The 24,071-nt window shown below is 42.3% G+C and overlaps 1 long non-coding RNA gene, 2 pseudogenes and 1 further gene across 1 annotated transcript; 1 reads left to right on the plus strand and 3 right to left on the minus strand.

Moving 5' to 3' along the window:
- IGH (immunoglobulin heavy locus) overlaps window positions 1-24,071 on the minus strand; it is a 1,293,408-nt gene that overhangs the window by 893,004 nt on the left and 376,333 nt on the right.
- On the plus strand, window positions 2,999-16,075 carry LINC00221 (long intergenic non-protein coding RNA 221). The gene is made up of 3 exons (NR_027457.2): window positions 2,999-3,197; window positions 9,328-9,521; window positions 14,717-16,075. It is a non-coding gene; the product is annotated as a long intergenic non-protein coding RNA 221 (long non-coding RNA).
- IGHVIV-44-1 (immunoglobulin heavy variable (IV)-44-1 (pseudogene)) lies at window positions 9,902-10,330 on the minus strand (annotated as a pseudogene). Its single transcript is given in 2 exon segments — window positions 9,902-10,201; window positions 10,285-10,330. Coding segments are annotated over 2 exon segments (346 nt in total).
- On the minus strand, window positions 14,705-14,941 carry IGHVII-44-2 (immunoglobulin heavy variable (II)-44-2 (pseudogene); annotated as a pseudogene). Its single transcript is given in 1 exon segment — window positions 14,705-14,941. A coding segment is annotated over 1 exon segment (237 nt).

Here is a 24,071-nt window from a genome sequence, read left to right on the forward strand (position 1 = left end):
GATTGATTTTTTTTTTTGTTTTTTTGAGACGAAGTCTCGCTCTGTCGCCCAGGCTGAGTGCAGTGGCGCAATCTCGGCGATTCTCCTGCCTCAGCCTCCTGAGTAGCTGGGATTACAGGCGCGCACAACCACGCCCGGCTAATTTTTGTATTTTTAGTAGAGACGGAGTTTCACTATGTTGGTCAGGCTGTTCTCAAACTCCTGACCTCATCATCCACCCGCCTCGGCCTCTCAAAGTGCTGGGATTACAGGCGTGAGCCACCGTGCCCGGCTGAATTTGTTAAATTCGGTGTTTAATCTGACATCCTTCTGGATTTGCTCACATTGGAACGTAAAAGAAAATAATTTCCAAGACTTACGTGTAGCCAAAACAAAACCAAAAATTTCCCGTCTCTAAGCTACACCTACCACTGGATTTTTAACTGAGGAAAGATGAGCCTGAGAGAAATCACAAAAGCAGCCAATTCAAGGAAAAGCCATTTATCGTTCTCAGCTGAACTTAAGACCACAGTTACCACGAAGGCAGCTTCTCCACCTCCGGAGCTCAAGCGATCCGCCCGCCTCGGCCTCCCAAAGTGCTGGGATTCCAGGCCTGAGCCCGGCGCCCGGTCAGCGAAGGCAACGTCTAAAAAAACTTCTCACCTCCTGTCACCATTTCAGTGACAAATTCCCGAGTTTTCAGAGGACATGCCGAATCCAGCACAAAACACTGACTCTGAGGAGCTCCCGACGCCGCTGGCGCCTCAGCTGGCAGCAGCTGCTCCAAGTTCGAACCCGCGGGCGGTGGCGGAAGGGCCTTCTCGCGGGCGTCGGGCAGCAGCTGCAGCCCTGGGCTCGGCCGCGGCGGCTCCGCGTCCTTCCCGGAGGCGCCGGCGCGAGGTCCTCACACCCAGGCGGCTCAGTGGAGGCGCAGCAGCCCAAGGAGCGCGGCCCCCAGCGCCCGCGCCCATCCTGGAGAACTGCATCTGCGCAGGCCCAGAGCGTCCTCCTGGAGCAGGCGAGCCAGGATGGCGCCTCCTCGCTCCCAGCAGGCGCCCCCACGCGGCCCGTGCGGAGCCCAGCGACCAGAGCCGCGCGAGCCTGTGGGGAGCCTGTGGGGAGCCTGTGGAGGCCTGGGCTCCACCGCCTTCCCCACAGCCAGCAGCAGCTTGTGCCGCCCGCCTTCCCCTGGCCAGGTCTTCCTGCAGCTGGCGCCGGAGGCTGCGGAGGGAGGGCCCAAGGGTTCTTTTCAGAAGACTGGCTTTTTATGAATTTTAACACAATATGTACAAGCTGCGTTCGTTTAATAACGCTGCTTCCGTCATACACTGGCAACTTAACACCTGAAAAGATTAGATGTTATAAATAGGACTTGTTCATCCTTTATACACAGGATATCCATAGATAAATAAAACAAACACACAGACAGAAGAGATGATCATTAATCTCTCCTCCCGGTGCGCACAGAGGCCTGGAAGTCTGCACTTTCTCCTCCTCTCTCCTCCCCTGAACCAGAGCACAAACGCAATGTGTGTTGATCAAGCAGGGATTTGGCCATCCTCCCCACCCCCCACCAACATCAAAATAAAATAAAACACTGCATATGAATTTTAACAAAAAGATATTTACAAAATTTATTATTTTACCACCTGTAATTTTAACATACATCAGGCACTTCAGAACATCTAGAAAGACTAGATATTTCAAAAGAATACTTAGAATTTCCAATGATGTATACAATAGCGAGGAATAAAACGCACACAAGAAAACAATGACAATGATATGAAAATGTCTTCTAAATATGAGCAGCCTGGCATGGAACCCTCTTCCCTTCCTGCCCAGGTCTCCCCTCCATGTCCTCTCACCCACTGAACGAACGTGGACGTGTGGTTACTGTGTCCCTTCCAGGGGTGGTCTAATAACACCATTTCAAAATGTCATTTCCAGAAGACACCCCTTTGCTATGATTTTTTTAAAAAGCACATGGTAACTTACGGCCAGGCACGGTGGCTCACACCTGTAATCCCAGCACTTTGAGAGGCCAAGGTGGGTGGCTCACCTGAGGTCAGGAGTTCAAGACCAGCCTGGCCAACGTGGCAAAACCCCATCTCTACTAAAAACTACAAAAATTAGCCAGGCGTGGTGGTGCACACTTGTAATCCAAGCTACTCGGGAGGCTGAGGCAGCACAATTGTTGAAACTCAGGAAGCAGAGGTTGCAGTGAGCCAAGATCCTGCCACTGCACTCCAGCCTGGGCGACAGAGTGAGACTCCGTCTCAAAAACAAAAAACAAAAAAACGAAAAAAAACGGAAAACAAAAGACAAGCACATGGTAACTTACAAGACATGTAATTTTCTGACTCTGTCATACATTTGGGAACCTCCTTATATCTAGGCGGATTAGATGCAGCAAATGTTTTCTTTTAAAAGGTCAGGGAAAGGTCGAGCGGAGCTTTTTCATGTGTTACGCACAGGCCTTCTAGAAAGGGCTGGTAAAGTGTGGTGGGCATGTCCAGTGGGACAAACTTGGAAGGTTCTTCTCTGTTTCTCCCCATCCATGTCAAGGTCTTGTAGAAGAACGATCACCATCCGGTGGCCGCTACCCGTTCCCCACATCGTCTTCCAGGACTCTACTAACATTTCTTGCCCTAAGGCCTTTGAACCTTGCCAGGACTGGCAGGGTCCCTTCCAACATGGACAGGAGTCATCCCAGGATTCGGAGCTTCGGGGCTGCATGGCCTGAAGAGAAAGCGGATCTAAGTCCTAGACCCCGCTTCCTGGCGACCCCACGCGTCCCCGGAACTCCCACGTCCCAGCTGCCCCCTCGCATCCCTGGACCGCCCACAACCCGCCAGCCCCCGCGCGTCCCGGACCACCTGCATCTCAGCTGCCCCCGCGCCTCTCCAGACCGCCCACGTCCCAGCTGCCCCCTGGCATCTCCGATCGCCGACGTCCCGCCATCCCCCGCGCGTCCCCGGACCGCCCACGTCCCATCAGCCCCGCGCCTCCCGGACCGCCCACTTCCCGACAGCCCCCGCGCATCTCTGTGGCAGCTGCTCCGTGCTTCCCGCCCCGCCGCGCCCGCCCACCCAACGGCGCTGTGTCCCGCCGGTAGCTCAGCGGGGACTTCCTTTATGTGGTACAGGGTTGGGCCTGGAGACCCGGATGCCGGCGAGGTCCTGGCTGGGAGAGGCCGCCGCTGCCTTCAGGTTTCCGAGGTGGGTAGAGAGGTTCCCGCTGCTTTGAGGTCAAGGCTCCTCGGTGGCAGCCACAGCAAAGGCTCCAGTGTCCGCCGCAGGGCAGAGGCCGGGCCTGTCTGGGGACCCCCGACTCATCTGAGGCTCAGGGCGGAGGGTCCAGTGAACTGACCTTGCCCCGCTTCTCACCACGCGCCCAGTGTCACTGTATTCAGCCACCACTGCACAAAGGCGGCACAGCTCTGTGCCCTGAGAAGCCCCTCATTCCCTCAGTGACTCCACAGGGAACACCGGGTGGGCCCCTGGATTCACAGCCCTGTAGCACGCTGCCCAAGGGGCCCCCTTGCTCTCCCACCACCCAGAACACCGAGCCCGTTGTCAAGGCTGAACCATCCGCGGGCAGCTGGGACCAGGGAACATGGTGAGGGGCTCACGGCACCTGGCGTGCAGATCCCAGTAGCTGGATGCGGTTCTGCTAATCACTAACAGGCTTGCAGGCTTCCCCAGGAATCCACCCATAAACTTCACAGAACACCGTGTCTGTGAACCACCCAGTATGTGCATTCAGTTTCTAACCTCACTCTGGTCCGGAATCTGCCACCTGCAGGATCCAATTAACAAGAGAGAGATCTGGTACAAAGATTATTGTATTAACCATAATGGTAAAGGGGAAGTGACCGCATTCCCATCCCAAGCAACCACTTGAATTTTGAAGGAAAGGCAGGGGTTTAAAAAAGGAAAAGTTGGTAAGAAAGGCATGCAAGATTTGGGCTGAGAACCAGGTCTGTGCGTCTTGTTCTGGCGGCTCTCTGGCATCCCAGTCCACCTAGATCTTGGGCTGGCATCATCTGGGCAATGCCTGGGTTGTTAACTAGCAACATTGAAGTCACCTCTGGAATTCTGCATCAGGGTCTCCCGACTTTGTCTATCTGTCTCAAATTAGCTTCCGGAACTTCCAAAAAGGCACATAGTTCGATGCAAACATAAAGTTAGATTAATGTGAAGGGAATATTTATGGTGAAAGGGAGAAAGGTGGAGTCTATTTCAAGGCGTAAGAAAATTGATTCTGCTGTTTGCCTCAAGATTATATCTTTACACCCAAGAGAGACAGAAAAGTTTAACCTCTCTTCTGCCACCATGTATGACTGCCTTGCTTCCCCTTTTTCTTCTGCCATGATTATAAGTTTCCTGAGGCGTCCCAAGCCATGCAGAACTGTTTGGTGTGGAGATTACTGAAGAAGGGTTTTACTTACTACTTGACAGAATTCCCCTTGGTGAAGAGGAAATGTCAGAGATCTTTAATTCATGACGATGTTGGATTATTGGCAGTTGGCTCACTAAGGATCCCATGTCCAAGAGCAGGATTCTCCTTCCAAAGTGTGGGTGTGGACTTGAGGAGCAGCCTTTGAAAGATGGGGCCCCTAGAATTTATAGAACTTCCTTTGATTCCTTGGAGGTTTGCAGTCTCCAGGTTGTCTGTCATCCAGGACTTTGACTGTTTGTGTGAAAGAGTGCTTCCTTTTGGGTGAAGAATTCTGTATGAATATCCTAGGGCTGCCAAAATGAAATACTACAAACTGGGTGGCTTAAAAATGACAGGACTGTATTCTCTCACAGTTCTAGAGACTAGAAGTCCAAAATCAAGTGTGAGCTGGGCTGCACTCCCTCTGAGACTCAGGAGAATTCTTCCTTGCCCTTTCCTCACTTGTGGAGGTGACTGGTAATCCCGGACATGCATTGGTTTACTGCTGCACCACTCTGATCTTTGCCTCTGCTGTCATATGGCACACTGTATGTCTCTGTCTCTGTGTCCAAATTTCCTTGTACTTAGAAAGACACCCATCTTCCCACATTGAGGGCCTGCCCTGCTCAAGTAAGACCTCATCTTCACTAATAACATCTCCAGCTACCATATTTCCAAATAAGGACGTGTTCTGAAGTGCTGGTTGTCAGGACTTTGACATATCATTTGGGTACACAGTTTAATACATGACGAACCCCGTTACAGAGCTACCATGTCTAGTGTCTTACACATTTTGTTTGGAGGGGGAGGGTAAAAATAACAATGGACTCCTGTGTGTTCTCTGACGATAGCAATACCAATAGCTACCATGTAATGCCTATTAGTTGTTAGGTACTAAATATTAACTAATTTCATTCTTACAACAACCCTACTTTACATATGAGAAAACTGGGGTACAGGAAGTAACTGGCCCATTGTCCTCCAGTTAGCAGTGGCAGAGACGGTATACAAAGCCAGACTTCCCAGCTCCAGAGGCCGCATACTTAATACCACCCTGCCTTCTGGACAGTCAGGACAAGCAATTATGCCTGTGGTAAACATACTGTGCTGACAAGTAAGGTTACACTTGAAATGTGGCTTACAATGCAAGGTATAGAGATTACAGGCAATTCATGTGTTCTGGTTATTTGTTGCTATTAAGTCTGAATTAAAATGTAAGTGTGAAATTTCAGGTTTCAGGGAGTATAAAAAATAATATTAAAACCTCAAATACTAAGTTTAAAATGCATTTTGAAATTAAGCTGCCTGTATATCATTCCCCACTGTCAAATTCCATTTCGTTTCTATGGAAAACATGTGTCATAGTCATTCTGGCTACTTCTTTAGAAAGGGCATAGGTTGTATGTATTGGAAGGGAATCCATTAAACTGGAGTTGGAAATATTCTGGAGTCTCCGGAATTACAGTAGGTGTTTGTTGGAGCATTATGGTGCAAGGACCTAGGAGTTTTTGAGAAGGTCAGTATTACATTCTCACTTAAAGTGCAAGATAGCAATAAAATCCATAGCAATTGAAGATAGCAATGAACAGAATACCAGCTCTACTATATATGAAACTCTTCCATGTGTTAGGAAGTCAACTAAACCATGCTGTCATGGGGTTCTGAGAGAGGGCATCCATCTCTAGCAGAAATATGGGTATCTAATGCTTGCATAGCTTGAGTTATATTGTGGGACTAATCTTGTATATATATGCAACATTCAGTGTTCATTAATACACAAGTGTTACCTTTGGCTGTAGTTGCAATACCTAGGGTCATATAGCTTCATAGTGTCACTTGTCAAATCTGTGAGGTTTCTTCAGTAAGAATGATGATGGCATGGTAGGTGTTGTTAAAGGGACTGGTGGTTTGCTTAGCCAGGGCCTCTACTTGCAATTCTAAATCTATGACTGCCACCTGGGGGGAAGAGCTGGCTAGTGGGCAGAACAACTAGGATGTCTGTTTATGTCAGTAGTGTCTGTCTTTCACACTTTTCCAGTTGACATAAAGAGAATGCACTTTGGACAGTTACATCCTGGGATATAAGGTCATATCCAGTTGCTTCTTTTAGTCCAGTTGTAAGGAAAGTAGGGCCAGCCATGAGTGCCACAGGCTGTAGCTAACCCCAGAGGGAAGAACAGATTCCACTCTGCAGGCTGGCATTGCCTTGTCATCCCAGCCACATATTAAGGGCTCAGTTACATTGCTAAGGAGGCAACAATTCCATATCATGAGTGACAGTGTAGAGTATGCTGTGGTGTTTCTTCACACATAGCAGTGCTTGACCAATTACTTGGATTCGCACCACTGTCAGCCATCCTACCTCACTGGATATGGCATAGCCTATAGTGGGAGTGATATTAATGAAGTGTCTTCTGTTTTTATAATAGATGGAAAAGATGGCTTCTCCAATGGATGGAAAATCATAAATTCTTACGTTGGGAGCTTGTATTATGCCAGGGCAGGCCTATAGTGGAAGAAATGGGCAAACTCTTTACAGAACCAACTATGTTTTCTTTTGCAGGGAAGCCACCATCTTCCACCCATTCAGCAAAAAAGATTAGTTTTAATAAGGAGAAATAATGTACTTATAACTATAGAACTCATTAAGAATTTTATATTAACAGAAGGGTATTACCTATCTGTCTTCTTGTCTCCTCTTTATCAGCAACTTCAGGTTTTCCTTAGGCTTATGTGACCAGGTAGTCTGTTATCTGGGGTCAAATTGAGGTGGGACAGGTTTTTTCCAACAGCGATGCACCCATGGCTTTACATTGGATAACTTAACTGAACAAAGGTTAATCAGTAGCACATCATGGGGTCTGTTCCACCTTTCAGTCAGCTGCTGATCTTGTTTTTGACTTTTACAAGACTGTAGTGGCATCTTGTCTCTTGGATGGAAGGGGTGAAGAGGCTCACTGTGGAATAAACAGGCCTGGAAATAGCAAGCTGATGTGCAGTTAGCAAGGTCTGCACCAATCTGCACATATGGTTTAACTCTGGGCTCTTTTACCAGCTCTAAAGGTGCTGTTACTGGCAAGAGGTCTGGAAGGGCCTCCTATATATAATTTCAAAGAGACTTTTCCCAAGCCCACTTCAGGGCACCGTTCTGCCCCAGAACAAGGCAATAAGAAAAAATCTATCCCAACGCAGGTCAATTTCCTGCCTGAGTTTGGCTATTGTCTTCTTCAAGGTGTTATCTTTTATTTCTTTACTGCTGACTGTGGTCTCCATGATGACTGTGGTTTCCATTCGATTTGCAGTGCTTGACTTACCTTTTGAGTAAACTCTGAAATAAAAGAAAGATCGTTGTCACTGTGTATAGTGCATGGGAGTCCAAACCTGGCAACGATTTCCTTGAATTATGCCTTAGCCAGTCATGTGGCTCTTTGGGACTTGGTGAGATATGCTTCTACCCATCTTGAAACAATATCTAGAACAATCAGGAGGAATTTATAGTTGCCACTGGCCACAGGCATGTGAGTGAATCCACTTGCCAATCTTCCAAGAGTCACAGTTCTCTGTGTTGTACCTCTTCGTTGCAAAGATTTTGTTCAGTCTCAAAGATATTTTTGGCACACAAAACACACTCGTATGTGACTTTCTGAACAGTTTTCTGACCATTCTGACACATGGTCATACAAAGTCTGCAAGGGAATCTCATTTGGAGTGTGTGCCCTCATGTAAATGTTTTAAAATTGTAGACCAGGGCCTCGGAGAGTAAGAATAATCCATAAGCATTAGTTTTTCAGAATAAATCTGGATCTGTTTTACCAAATCCCCAGTCGCAGGCATGCTTCTTGTCTATTTAGTATAATGGAGTTTGAACTATGGAAACTCCAGATGTGGAATCAAAGCTCATAGCAGGTGTGCATCCTGCACTGCTCACTTCTCAGCCTTTTCTGCAGTCTGATTTCCTTTAGGTGCCAATGAGTCATCTTTTGGGTGCTCAGGGCAATGCATAATGGAGGATGAGAAGGATGAGAACACACCTCTAGTAGTTTAACACCATTTCTATTGGGTGTTTAATGTCCTTATTTCCTGATGAGACAAGGCCTCTTTCTTTCCAGATGGCCCCATGAGCATGCACCACCATGAAGGTGTACTTAGTATAGGTGTCAATGTTTACTCAACTTGGTGAGGGTGATTAGCTCAGGTTTCGGACCAGAGGTACTGGCAGAAAGGGCACAGGCTTCTATTATCCAGTCAATAGTTATGATCGCACAACTGGCTCAGCATTTTTCCTCCTCCATGAAACAGCTCCCATCAGTTTAAATTTCCCAATCTGGAGCATTTATTGGCTGGGCTTCCAGGTCTGGGCTGCTGAAGTTGACTGCATCAAAAAATTTCAAACAGTCATGCACTAAATCAAAATCAAGTGCTGTAGCTGGGAGCAGAAATTTAAAATTACCTTTATTTTTCCTCTATTGCCTCCCCAACATGAATCCATCAGAAGATACATCATTCATTATTTCAAAATATATTCTACATTTATATATCCAAAGAAATGTTACTGTGGAAATATTTCATCAGATCTTCATCATGAGACTCTGTGAGGGCAGAGACTTGGCCTCACCTCCCATTAGCTCCACTCCCACACTGGAGAGCTTGCAGTCCTGAGCCTGCAGAAGCTGAGCTGCATGGCCAGCTTGGCTTGAGTGAAGGAGTGGATGTGTGTTCCCCTCCACATGGGGTATGTGAGCCTGAGGGTCTGGGAATTAATATATTCCTAAAAAAATACATCCTATCTTGTATATGGTGGGTTCAGGCTTTCTGTTTGTTGATCTCGATTCCCCTGAGTGATCCCCATCTTTCCAACTTTGTGGAAGACAAAAGTGAAATAACTATTGGGACAATTCTTCTCTACAGACAATGGAGACTCTGAGAACATCCAGAAATATCCACAGGACTGGCGAGGCTGTGGGCTTTCAACCACCACGAGAGGCTGTTTGCATATGATTCTTCTAAAATTGACATCAGTGAAATGCCTTGAAGATAATAAAGTGTTGAAGAAATAAACAAAATCAGAATATATGGGATCAGTTAGAAAGCTCTTATTTAAGGTGAGTTTATGAAATGAGGATGATTGCACTTGTAAATTCTTAGAATTCTTAGAGTGATTATGTAGATTACAGTTATTCCAGTACCTGGCCCTTGGTAAGTTTTGCTTTCACACTTATGATCTTTTTCCTCCAAAATGAAAGGTACATCTGTTTCCATAGTTTAAAAATATGTCTGTGTCTGCCTGGCTTGTCAGAGGTTTACAAGGCATGGAGATTAAAAGCCCTTCCCTGGGGAGGAGCCCTGACCCCCACCTCCTGTGCCTGACCCAGTTCAGTGGTTCCTAAGTACACCCTGGTGACCTGATCCTTCCCCTTGTGGTCCCAAGAACCCCTGCAGGGCAGGTTTGTGTCTGAGTTCACTCTGGATTCGAGTCACAGTGCCTTGAGCACAGTAATACACGCCTGCCTCCCCAGCCATCACACTTCTCAGCTGTAAGTTTTCTTGTTTTTTACTATGTGTTTCTGGAGATGCTAGCTCTGCCCTGAAGGTTGGGGCTTAGTGTTTCCCTTAACCCATATCACACCAACACACTGAAGACCTTTTGATGGGAGATGGTGGATCCAGGAAACAGAATGTTCAGAAATTGAATGTGCATAGGCGGCATAGGTGAGGCTGAGCATGACCAAGGGGACCACTACTTCTTCCTCCCATTGCACAAGGTGGTCCTCACTGTGAACCCCTGAGAATAGAGAACATCTGTGAGTCACAGACACATTTGCCTCATCCCGTGTCTCCCCACGTATGAAATCATGAGTAACTCACCACAGAGGGCAGCCAGCAGGCAGAGAAGGAGTAGCGGAGGGGCCATGTATCTATGGATGTGGAGAGTGCTACTAGAGACCCCAGCTCAGAGCCAGCACACAGCATAACACTCACAGCCCTGCCTCTATTCGTTCTTGAACCCGGGACTTATTTGCATGGACAGAGCCCCAAGGGCATAGGGTGAAGGGGTAATGTGAGGGGGAGCTCACTGCCCCTGAGCTCTCCTCAGACAGGGTCATAGAATGGGGTCTTGTCTTGTAGAACAGTGGGGAATCTCTGGGTTCCAGGAAAATGAAAACTTAAATGTATCTCAGGACTCTGGAGCTCCCTTTAGGAGTCTCTGTTTCTGTCTTCTTGCTAAATATTCTCAGCAAGATCAGCTGAAATTCGTCATTAGAAGAGGGAGTTCTTAGTATTCTTTGGCTGGAAAGAAGGCTCTTCTCCCATGACCAACTAAATAAGCAACCAATATAATCTAATATACATTATCAATGTCACATGAGTCAACATAGACTGCTTTCTTTATTTTTTTTCTTTTAAGCATATTGTTCAACATTTGTTCTATTTTAAAATCTTCAAGAGACGTTCATATGAAAATATAGCTTAAATATGGCCTCATTGGTGCAGATGATAAAGCATGGAAACTTTGCTTTTTCAGAAACATGGAGGATATGAGAGCAAGCAATGAAGTAATGTTACAAAATGACATATTTGAGTAGTTCATACTGGTGGAATTTTCCTGGCACTCTCATGAGTTGAAACATAATCATTAAAGACTCTGGCACTTGAAACCGTGATGACAGCTGCATTTCTTGCAGTCAAGGGAACTCGGAGTGTTTTAGCTTATGGGTTCTGTGGAAGCCAGGCCACTTGTCTTCCTCGCTTCAGCCCCCTTCGCACAGGAGGTGACGAATCTCTTCCCTCACTGGAGTTCCTGGAGCCAGAGTATACAAAGAAGCCACACACAAAGCTCCTAAAGAGAGCTCCACAGGCCTGAGACATATTAAATTGTCATCTTCCTGGGACCAAGAGATTCCCTCCATTATGAAAATGTTGTACAGCCTTATTATGCAACACACTCTGTTTTGCTCTGTGTGAGTTCCACTCCCACTGTCACAGCTCTGTCAGCAGACCCTGAGGCCTGGGCATCAATTTCAAATCTTCATGGAGAGCCAATGCTGTGGGAAGGGTGTCCTTTAGTCTGTGATATTCACGAGTGAGGGACAGAGCTGGACATTTTAGTGAATCTCAGAGCTGCAGGGAAAGTACTGTCTTCAGCTACTCTTCTCTGCCTAGACTTGGGACTATTCTATAATTTCCTCACTGGATTAATAATCGGTACCTGTTGAATCCTGTGTCCACTGTTCAATATAACCCGGTAGGGTGGAACAATCGGAAAATCATCTGCTTTATGCCTGCATCCTCTCCTGGCTAAGATTTCAATAGGTCCAGTTGTGCACATTAGGTAGAATTGTCATGTCTGAAGAAGGTAGTATCATTCTTGTTTTGTAGTTTATTCTGTAAGGGTTTCTAATTACAGCACTGCATAACCAATGACCATAATCAAGAAGGAGACATTCAGCATGAGACTCCACAGAAGGTGCTAGTCTCATAGAGAAGTAGACCTCCATTGAGAAGCTCAGATGTAGGGACGAGCCCCACAGGGTCGGTGGGTTTTTCTCCCTGTGTGTGGAGATGAGAGATTGTAGAAATAAAGACACAAGACAAAGAGATAAAAGACAGCTGGGCCCAGGGGACCACTACCACCAAGACATGGAGACCGGTAGTGGCCCCGAATGTCTGGCTGCACTGATATTTATTGGACACAAAGCAAAAGGGGCAGGGTAAAGAGTGTGAGTCATCTCCAATGAGATAGGTAAGGTCAAGTGGGTCACGTGTCCACTGGACAGGGGTCCTTTCCTGCCTGACAGCTGAGGCAGAGAGAGAGAGAGAGGGAGAGAGACAGACAGCTTACGCCATTATTTCTGCATATCAGAGACTTTTAGTACTGTCACTAATTTTGCTACTGTTATCTAAAAGGCAGAGCCAGGTATACAGGATGGAACATGATAGCAGACTAGGAGAGTGACCACTGAAGCACAGCATCAGAGGGAGATGATTAGGCCTCCAGATAACTCAGGTGGGCCTGACTGATGCCCTACACAAGAGGTGGAGGAGGAGAGTCTTCTCTAAACTCCCCTGGGGAAAGGGAGACTCCCTGTCCTGGTCTGCTAAGTAGCGGGTGTTTTTCCTTGACACTGACGCTACCGCTAGACCACGGTCTGCTTGGCAACGGGCATCTTCCCAGAAGCTGGTGTTACCGCTAGACCAAGGAGCCCTCTGGTGGCCATGTCCGGGCATAACAGAAGGCTCGCAGTCTTGTCTTCTGGTCACTTCTCACCATGTCCCTTCCACTCCTATCTCTGTATGGCTTGGTTTTTCCTAGGTTATGATTATAGAGCGAGGATTATTAATAACATTGGGATAAAGAGTAATTGCTATAAACTAATGATTAATGATATTCATATATAATCATATCTATGATCTATATCTAGTATAACTATTCTTATTTTATATATTTTATTATACTGGAACAGCTTGTGCCCTCGGTCTCTTACCTTGGCACCTAGGTGGCTTGCCACCCACACTCAGAGACCTTTCTCCCTGGGTAAAGTGTGCAGTCCACCAGGGTGCAGACATGCTCTAAATCCATAGACACCTGATGTGTCCTAGAAGTAAGGAGCATAGGTATGAGCAACCCTACCCCATCCTCTGTAGCTGACATCATTCCCAGTGATCACTTGACAAGTGTGTGGTGCTGCCCAGTTCATTGATGCTTCTCATGTAGGAGACTAGCAGGCCAGGGAAGAGCACCATCTTGGCAAAAACAGCTGAACCTGTCATTAGGTAAGGGATGTTTTTCCATAATAGAAGACATAAATTTAACTATCATTAAGTCCTCTAGGTTGTCATTTGAAACTGCCCAATATTGATAGCATATGGACAAATGAAAACCTCAATAAGTAATTAGCTGAGTGATGTTTAATGTATTGTAGTGTGACCTACTGATGCTGAGCTACACGGTAGTTGTGCTGAAATGAGTGTGGGTAGAGGTCCTCCTCCACATGGTGTAGGTGAGCCTGAGGGTCTGGCGACCAACATGTACCTGGAGAAGATGCCCATGGGCAGCAGAACTTGTTATAGTGGGTTTGCTGAAAGTGTCTATTTTGGTCCCCTCTATTATGTCCCCACAAAGCATGTTCTGGACTTCTGACCGTCAAGAGGGCAAAAAGCAGTGAAGGGCTGAGAGAATTCTTTCTGTCTCTTGAACCTGAACATACTGAGAAGCCTAGAGAGAGCTCGGAGCTCCTGGAGACGCTTATGGGATTTTACCACCCAGGAAGACTCTTTGCACATTATCTGTCTAGATAAACACTCATGCAACACTTTAGTAAAGATAAAATGATAGAAGAAATTGTCAAATAACTTCAATTCAGAATATTAAAGTTTATTTAGAAAGTCAGCAGCATGCAGTTTTATTATTGTAGTTTCATAGCATATTTGCAGTTCAGGTACTAGGAAACCTCCCCCCGCTTTGATGTTTGTATTCAAGGTTACTTTGGACATCTGGGGTCTTTTGTGATTCAATTTTATCATTTAAAAAGTAGTTTGTTGAAAATGTCATTTGTATAGAAATTGCTTTGGATCTGTAGATTGCTTTGGGTAGTATAGACATGTTAACAGTATTATTATCTTCAATCTGTGAATATGGAATAGTTTCCCATATATTTGCATATAGATTTATTTATTTCATCAATGTCATATAGTCTTCAATGCACAGATTTTCACTTATTTGACCAACATTTTTTCTAAGTGATTTTTAGAAATAGATATTGGTCTTGCTGTGTTGCCCAGGCTGGTCTCAAACTCCTAGCCTCAAGTGATTCTCCCCTACCTCCCAAAGTACAAGAATTACAGGTGTAAACTACTGTGCATGGCCACTAAGTAAGTTATTTAATATTGTAAATGCAACTGACATTGTCTTATGATTTTTAAATAGTTAATTTTTAGTTTTTAGTAACACTACTGAGTTTTCCATATAAATTTTGTATACTGCAATGTTACTAAATTTGTTTGTTAGTTTTCAGTGGCTGTTTTTTCAGAATTTTTTATTTTTTTGGAATTTATAAAGTTATATTGTCTGTAAACAGAAACAATTTAACTTATTCCCCTCAATTTGTATGCCTTTTACTATTTTTTTCTTTCTCAAATTTCTATGGTTAAAACTATCATCAATATGCTGATTAGAATTATTAAGACTGGGCATTCTTTTCTTATTCCTTATCTTAGAAGAAAAGCTTTCCATTGTTCTCAGCAGGAAGGTTTATGTCTGGACTCACATTGACTTCCTCTCACTGTTTGTCTTGCACAGTAATACAAACCATGTCCTCAGATGTCACAGAGCTCAGGTATAGTCAAAATTGTTTCTTGGATGAATCTCTGGAGAAGGAGAGTTGGCTCTGCAGAGATGGATCATCGTGTGTGTCACCCTTGCAATGTGTTCCTGACAGCCCATGGAAGCGGGCTAGTGGATTCAGCTCCAGCAGTAACTGTTGGTTGGGATGGACAACCCAGAAATGGGGCATGTGAGGAAGAGAAAATGAAAGTGGATAGCCTGTTACCGAAAACTGCTGGACTAAGACACTTGTAAGCCTGTCAATCTCAGTGGCCAACAGACATGAAAAAAATTTCCAACATCATTAATTATCAGAGAAATGCAAATAAAAACAACAATGAAATACCATCTCAGACCAGTCATAATAGCTAATATGAAAAAAGTTAAACAAAAAACAGCTGCTGGGTGGGAAGTGAAGAAAAGGGAACACATACATGGGTGGTGGAAATGTAAATTAGTTCAGCACTGTGCAAAGCAGTTTAGAGAATTCTCAAAGAACTTGAAACAGAGCTACTGTTTGACCCAGCAATCCCATCATTAGGTATATAGCCAAAGTAAAATAAATCATTCTACCAAAAAATGCACATGCACTCATGCCTCTTGCCACACTATTCACAACAGCAAAGATATGGAATCAATCTAGGTGCCAATCAATGATGTATTAGATGAATAAAATGGTATGTATGCAATATAAAATCATAAAATACCACACATTCATAAAAAAAAGTGTGGTGGCTCACACCTATAATCCCAGCACTTTGGGAGGCTGAGGCAGACAGATCATGAGGTCAGGAGATCAAGATCATCCTGGCCAATATAGTGAAACCCCCTCTCTGCTAAAAATACAAAATTTAGCTGGGCATAGTGGCACATGCCTGTAATCCCAGCTACCCGGGAGGCTGAGGCAGGAGAATCACTTGAACCAGGGACTTAGAGGTTGCAGTAAGCTGAGATCGCGTCACTGCACTCCTGCCTGGTGAGAGAGTGAGACTCTGTCACAAAAGAAACAAAATCATGTCCTTTGCAGCAACATGGATGCAGCTGGAGGTCATAGTCGTAAACAAGTTAACACAGAAAAAGGAAACAAAATATCACATGTTCTCACTTGAAAGTGAGTGCTAAAGGTTGAGCACATGTGGACATGACCATGGAAACAATAGGCACTGTGAACTGCTGGAGTGGGGAGGGAGAGAGAGGTGCATGGGTTGAAAGACTGACTATTGGGTATTATGCTAACTCCCTGGGTGAGGGGATCCATACCCCAAACCTCAGCATCACACAATATGCCCATGTAAAAAAACTTGCATATGTACCCCCTGTACCTGAAATAAAAGTTGAAATTTTAAAAATAATATTAAAATTATAATTAAATAATTTTTCTTCAATTTTTTGAATAGTTTAACAATAATCTGTTTTCATGATTTTTTTTTAAGTTAAGTAGAACACAACTGTGAAACCATCAGGTCCTGAACATTTCTGTGATGGGAGACTTTTCATTATTATTATCTCCTGTTATTCATTGTTCTGTTTAGGCTTTCTACTTCTTCTTGGTTCAGTCTTGGTAGTTTGCATGTGTTCATGAATTTATCCATTTCCTCTAGGTTCTTGAATTTTCTCTAGCATATAGTTGTTCATAATACCCTCTAATGATCTTTTGTATTTTTGTGGTATCATTGTGATGTCTCTTTTTTCATTTCTGATTGTATGTATATGGGCATTTTCTCTTTTCATTTGTAGTTAATCTAGATAATGCCTTCTTGCTTTTTTACATTTTCAAGAAAACAACTGTTTTGCTGATCCCTTTTGTTATTACTTATTTATTTTTGGAGATGGAGTCTTGTTCTGTTGCCAGGCTGGAGTACAGTGGCGCGATCTCGGCTCACTGCAACCTCGGCCTCCCAGATTCGAGGGATTCCCCTGCCTCAGCCTCCCAAGTAGCTGGGAATATAGGCGTGTGCCACCACGCCTGGCTAATTTTTTGTATTTTGGTAGAGACGGGGTTTCACCATGTTGGCCAAGATGGTCTCAATCACCTGACCTCATGATCCGCCCCCCTCGGCCTCCCAAAAAGCTGGGATTACAGTCATGAGTCACCGCGCCCGGCCTTGCTGATCCTTTATAGATTTTTTTTTCTGTATTTTAAAATTCTGCTCTGATATTTACTGTCTATTTTTTCTACAATTATGAATTCTGTTTGTTCTTGCTTCTCTAGTTCTTAAGACACATAGGTGGGTGGTTTTTGAGAAATCGTTCTACTTTTTTGATTTAGGTGTTTATTGCTAGAAACTTTTCTCTTAATATTGCTTTAGCTGTAACCAGTAGCTTTTGCTATATTGTATTTCTATTTTTATTTATTTCAATAAATTTTTAAAGTTTCATTTTAAGTTATTCCTTTATCCAATGGTCACACAGAAGCATGTTGTTTAATTTTCATATATTTGCATTGTTTCAAATATTCCATCCTCTAGGGTTTCTAGTTTATTTCATTGTGTTTGGAAATGATACTTGATATGGCTTTGATATTTTTATAATTTCGAGACTTTTTTGTGTCCAAATATATTAAATTCTGGAGGATGTTCATTGTGCTGTTAAAAAGAATGTGCAATCTGCTGCTGTTTGGCGAAGTGTTCTGTAAGTGTCTGTTGAGTCCGTTCAGTCTGTGGTGCAATTATTGTTTTTGAGATACAGTCTCGCTCTGTTGCCCAGGAGGGCGTGCATGGGTGCCATCAGGGCTCTATGGAGCCTCTATCTCCCTGGGTTCTGGTGATTTTCCCACCTCAGCCTCCTGGGTAGCTGGATCTTTAGGCACATGCTACCACACTGGCTGTTTTTTATTTTTTATTTATTTATTTTTTTTGTAGAGACAGGGTTTTGCCATGCTACCCAGGCTAGTCTCAAACTCCTGAGCTCTCTACCAATCCACCTGCCTTAGCCTCCCAAAGTGCGGGAATTACAGATGTGAGTTATTGTGCCTGGCCTCTGGTGCAATTTTAATCTGAAATTTTCTGTTCATTTTCTCTTTGGATAAACTGTGCAATGCTTTCAGTGAGGGATTGAAGTCGCCAGCAATTATTGTATTGGTGTCTATCCTTTTAGATCTGATAACATTTGCTCTGCATACCTGGGTACTGTATCGTTGGGTATATATCTTTAAAATTCTTATGCCTTCTTCCTGGGTTGAACTCTTTATTTATACATAGTGTCCTTCTTTGTCTGTCTTTACAGCTTTTAACTTAAAGTCTGGTTTATCCACTACAAGTATAGCTACTCCAGGTGAAGTTAGTTTTTATTTGCATTACATAACTTTTTCCATACCTTCATATTCAACGTAAGTGCATCATTACAATTGGAGTGAGTTTTTTGTAGGTAACTGATATAGTTTGGATGCTTGTTCACTTCAGATCTCATGTTGCAATGTTATCTCCGGTGTTGGAGGTAGGACCTAGAGGGAGGTTTTTGGGTCGTGAACACGGATCTCTCATAAAAGCCTTGATGCCCTTCACGTGGTAATGAGTGTGTTCTCATTCTATTCGTTCACATGATACCTGGCTGTTTAAGGAGCATGGCACCCACCCAACAACCTTAATTTTCTGCCTTTTCTTCTCTTCTATCGCCATTCACATACGTGCTCCTTTTTCACCTTCTGCCACAATTGAAAACTTCCTGAGGCCATCGACAGAAGCAGATGCCAGTACTATGCTTCTTGTACAGCCTGCAGAACTGTCAGCCAAATATACCTTTATTTTATTATACTTTACATAATTTTATTTTTATTTCCATAGGTTTTGGGGGAAGAGGTAGGGTTTGGTTACATGAGTAATTTCTTTGGTGATGATTTATGAGATTTTGGCGCACCCATCACCCCAACAGTATACACTGTACCCAATTTGTAGTCTTTTATCCCTCAGCCCCCCTCATCTATTCCAAGTCCCCAAAGTCTATTGTATCATTCTTATGCCTTTGCATCCTCATAGCTTATTTCCCACGTATGAGTGAGAACATATAATGTTTAGTTTCCCACTTCTGAGCTACTTCACTTAGAATAATGGTCTCCAATTCCATCCAGGTTGCTGTGACTGTCATTATTTTGTTCCTTTTTATGGCTTAATAATATTCCATGGTAAATATATACACACACACACACACACATATATATACACGTGTATATATATACATCTATACATATATACACATATACACGTATATATGTACATATATAAAAAATATGTATATATAGAAAATATAAAATTATATATATATGGCCGGGCGCGGTGGCTCACGCCTGTAATCCCAGCACTTTGGGAGGCCGAGGCGGGTGGATCACGAGGTCAGGAGATCGAGACCATCCTGGCTAACAAGGTGAAACCCCGTCTCTACTAAAAATACAAAAAATTAGCCGGGCGCGGTGGCGGGCGCCTGTAGTCCCAGCTACTCGGGAGGCTGAGGCAGGAGAATGGCGTGAACCCGGGAAGCAGAGCTTGCAGTGAGCCGAGATTGCGCCACTGCAGTCCGCAGTCCGGCCTGGGCGACAGAGCGAGACTCCGTCTCAAAAAAAAAAAAAAAAAAAAAAAAAATTATATATATATATATATATATAAAATGGTGTGCGTGTGTGTGTGTGTGTGTGTGTATCACAATTTCTTTATCCACCCATTGACTGATGGGCATTTGGGCCGGTTCCATATTATTGCAACTGCGAATTGTGCTGCTGTGAACATGCATGTGCATGTGCAAGTATCTTTTTTGTATGGTGACTTCCTCTGGGTAGATCCCAGTAATGGGACTGCTGGATGAAATATTTGTTCTCCTTTTTTTCTTTAAGGAATCTCCACACTGTTTTCCATGGTGTTTGTACTAGTTTACATTCCCGCCAGTGTTCCCTTTTCACTGCATCATCACCAACATCTATTTTTTTATTTTTTGATTATGACTATTCTTGCAGGAGTAATGTGGTATTGACTTGCATCTGCATTGTGGTTTTGATTTGCATTTCCCTAATCATTAGTGATGTTGAGCATTTTTTTCATGTTTATTTGCCATTTGTATATCTTATTTTGAGGATGGTCTGTTTATGTCGTTAGCTTATTGTTTTATGGAATTGTTTTTTGTTGTTGTTTTTGTTGTTGTGGCTAATTTGTTTGAGTTCCTCGTAGATTCTAGATATTAGTCCTTTGTTGGATGTATAGATTGTGAAGATTTTCTCCCACTCTATAGATTGTCTTTTTACACTGCTGATTGTTTATTTTGCTGTGCAGAAACTTTTTAGTTTAATCAAGTCCTACCTATTTATCATTGTTTTTGTTGCATTTGCTTTTGGTTCTTGGTTATGAAGACTTTGCTTAAGCCAATATTGAGAAGAGTTTTTCAGATGTTATCTTCTAGAATTTTTATGTTTTCATCTCTCAGATTTAAGTCCTTAATCCATCTCGAGTTGATTTTTGTATAAGGTGAGAGATGAGGATATAGTTCTTCTACATATGGCTTGCCAATTATCCCAGCACCATTTGTTGAATATGGTCTCCATACCCCACCTTATGTTTTTGTTTGCATTGTTAAAGATTCATTGATATAATATTTGGCATTATTTCTGGGTTCTCTATTCTTTTCCACTGATCTATGTGCTTATTTTTATACCAGTACCATGCTGTTTTGGTGACTGTGGCCCTATAGTATAGTTTGAATTCAGGTAATGTGATGCCTCCGGATTTGTTCTTTTTGCTTAGTCTTGCTTTGGCTATCCAAGTCTTTTTTGGTTCCATATGAATTCTAGTTCTGTGAAGAATGATGGTGATATTTTGATGGGAATTGCATTGAATTTGTAGACTGTTTTTGTTTTTAAAGTAAATTGTACAGACTCAGGTACTTCTTTATAACAATGCAAAATGGGCTTAACATAGCAGCCTATAGTTGGCACTTTTGTTTGTTTGTTTCTTTTTTTCTTTTCTTTTCTCTTCAACTCAGTCTATGTATTTTAAATGTAAAATTTAATCCACTTACTTTCAAGCTAATAATAGATAGAAGAGGTCTTACTTCTTTCACTTTCATTGATTCTTTTCTCATTGTTTTGTGTATCTCTTGTTTCTTATTCTTAACCTATTGGTTATTTTTGTAGTTTTGTAATTTTTGTAGTGATAAGATTTGATTCATTTATTTTCTTTTTTGTGTATTGGCTTTACTAGTGGGTTTTATGGTTTTTTAAAAATTTTTCATAATTGTGGCTATTATGTTTTCTCTTCCAGATGTAAGAATCTTGAGCATTTCTTGTAAGGCCAGCCTGGAGGTGATGGATTTCCTGTTCATGTTAGTCCGATAAACATTATATATTTGTTAGTTTGTGAATAATAATGTTTCTAGGTATTATATTATTGGCTGGATACTTTTTTATTTCAATATTTTGAATATACTATCCTACTCTATCATGCTCTATCTTTGTCTTTTGATAATTTGAGGAAAGCATTCTTCAGAGAGGATCTGTTTAGTTTCAGTCTGTTTGGAATATTTGAGTTTCCTGGATCTGAATAACCATCTATCTCCCATGATATGGGACGTTTTCTGCTCTTGTTTTATTAAATATGTTTCCTACATCATTTTCATTTTTTTCCCTCTGGAATTTTCCCCTGGATTTTCCATAACTCAAAAACTTGTTTTCAAATTGTGTTTTGAAAACTATAGGGTTTCTATGTTTTTAAAATTTTATCTTCCTTCCTTCCTTCCTTCCTTCCTTCCTTCCTTCCTTCCTTCCTTCCTTCCTTCCTTCTCTCTTTCATTCTCTTTTTTTTTCTTTTTGGTCTGCTGGAATTATTTTGAAAGACTTGTCTTCAAGCTCAGAAATTCTTATTTTTGCTCGTTATTTTCTGTTATTGAATCTGTAAACTGCATTTTTATTTTATTCATTAAATTCTTCAGCTGTAAGCTTTTTGCTTTATTATTTTGTATGATATCTAACTCTGTTGAATTTCTCTAGTCTCAGCTGTTTATTCATTTCTGTGGTTATTTCATGTGGGGTTGAAGAGTGTCAGGCACGTTTAGTCAGCTGTCCTGCTAATTTTTTTTTTTTTTTACTTTTACTTAAGTTTTTATAGCTAACCTGGATATTACAATTGGTAATTCAGATTTATAACAGAGTAGTTTAAATTATGATTGCCTTAGTTCAATAGTGCATACAACTCTGCTTCTCTACAGCTGTATCCATTTTCACTTATTGTGTTGTTACATATTCATACATTATAAATTATATGCACATTATTCAAATTTATAATGAATTTTATAACCATAAATTATAGGCACATTATTCAAATTTGTCATTACTATTATATCTATTTTTTTTTTAAAAAAGGAATAGAACATGAGACTCAAGGCAAAAATAAAACAATATTGGTTTTCATTACACAAATGTGATTACTGGGATACTTGTTGTTGTTGTTCTTTTAGGTGTAAGATTTTTAAATATTCTCCACTCTGTTTTCATTTCAGCCTGCAGGACTCTATTTAGTATTTCTCATTAGGAATTTGTGGTTTTGATGGACTCCATAGCTTTTGTTTATTTCTATTATCTTGATTTCTCCTTCACTTTTGAAGGTGTTCTTGCTAGTATGGAATTTTTGATTGATAGTGTATTTTAGCACTTTTGATATGCCACTCCAGTGAGCTTTGGCCTTCCTGATTTTTGGTGAGAAATCAGTTGTTAATCTTATTGAGGATTTATCCTAAACAACAAACTATTCCTTAGATTCTAAGGGCTTAAACATACCTGGTATTTTCAGACAAATGATATTGAGGTCAAGAGACAAGTCTTTCAAAGCATACATAACAACATTTCACATGCACATAAACATGCTCACAGACTCACACACACCCTCAACACCTTCATATGTAGAGTCATAGGTAATGAAAACATGCTCACAGACTCACACACACCCTCAACACCTTCATATGTAGAGTCATAGGTAATGACTCACCCAAACAAACTCACATAGGGGCACACACTCACTAAGTAATACAAGTAACACATTCACACTCAAATAGCTCTGCACACACTAGCATTCAAACAATTACATTTACAAAAGTTTTATACTTACACACCTTCAAAAAATTCATGTTCATGTAAATTAATAGGCTCAAATACTGAAGGACCCAGACACACACATTCAATATAACATACCCTTTTACAAACTAACTCACAGACACAGGCATGCACATTCTCCCACACACTCCCTCAAAGACACAGTCTAATGATCAGAAACTAAATTACTCATTTTAAAATAAAACAAAGACACACAAGCTCACACACAGAAACATAGACACTCACAAACACACAGACACAGTTATAGGAATCCTCCCACTTACACACAATGATCCACATACACACAGAATCATATTAAGACTATTCCGTGATCCCAAGATTGAGACAGTAGCCATCCCCAGTCTCCATGGACATCACACTGTGGTAGAGGCTCAGTCTACCTTCTAGATTCTTCTGAGAGATGGCCAGGGCTCCAGAGTTCAGGTTCTCACATATTGTATAACTTTTGGGTTAAACCACACCTAAAACACTGAGTGGATGTTGTCTTTCATCACTTGATTATCATCGGCATTTCAACTGATGCAATTTTTTACCTCATTTTGAAGGAAATAAAATAAATTCATAGAGTCTCCCTAGGCTAGATTGATGTATCTCTGTTTCTCCTGGTAGCTTCAAATATGGTACCTTCAAAAATATGACAGTATTCACTAAATACTACACCTCTTACAACACTTTCTTGGTCAGCTGGTCCAACAACAAGGGAACCCCAGTAGAACAATCATTTTATGGGTCTAATTCTGTACCCACTGTGAACACATACCTTCTTATGTACCAGGACCTCCACTCCATCACAACATATTGTTATGGAGATGGAAAGAAACATTCTCCAAATTTTCATCATAGATTTGGCAAGAAAACCTGATATTTCTGTCCATTAGTTTCCAAACCCAGGTGTTGTAGCTCCTGGCCACAAGGCACTATAATACTCTCTGTTATGGGCATTTGCAGCTTCCTGGAGGATGGTATTGTCTCTAAAAATGGAATTTCTTTAGAGATTATATTTTCTACTATAAAACAGTGGCAGAAAACATCTGGTATAAATCTCACATTAGACTGTGGAGACTAAAGTCAATCATTTCATCGTTTTACTGGTGTCTCTGTTTTGGGGCAAACGTGGAAGAGGAATGTCTGCTGGATCCCTGCTCGTGTTCCATAATCACATCTCCTCTCCCTTAACAACAGCTGCATTCTTTCATGTTGAACACATTCTGTAGTAACTCATGCTAGGAAATAAAATATTCAGCAACT

The sequence above is a fragment of the Homo sapiens genome, chromosome 14 (assembly GCF_000001405.40).
Source record: "Homo sapiens chromosome 14, GRCh38.p14 Primary Assembly".
NCBI classification, from domain to species: Eukaryota; Metazoa; Chordata; class Mammalia; order Primates; family Hominidae; genus Homo; species Homo sapiens.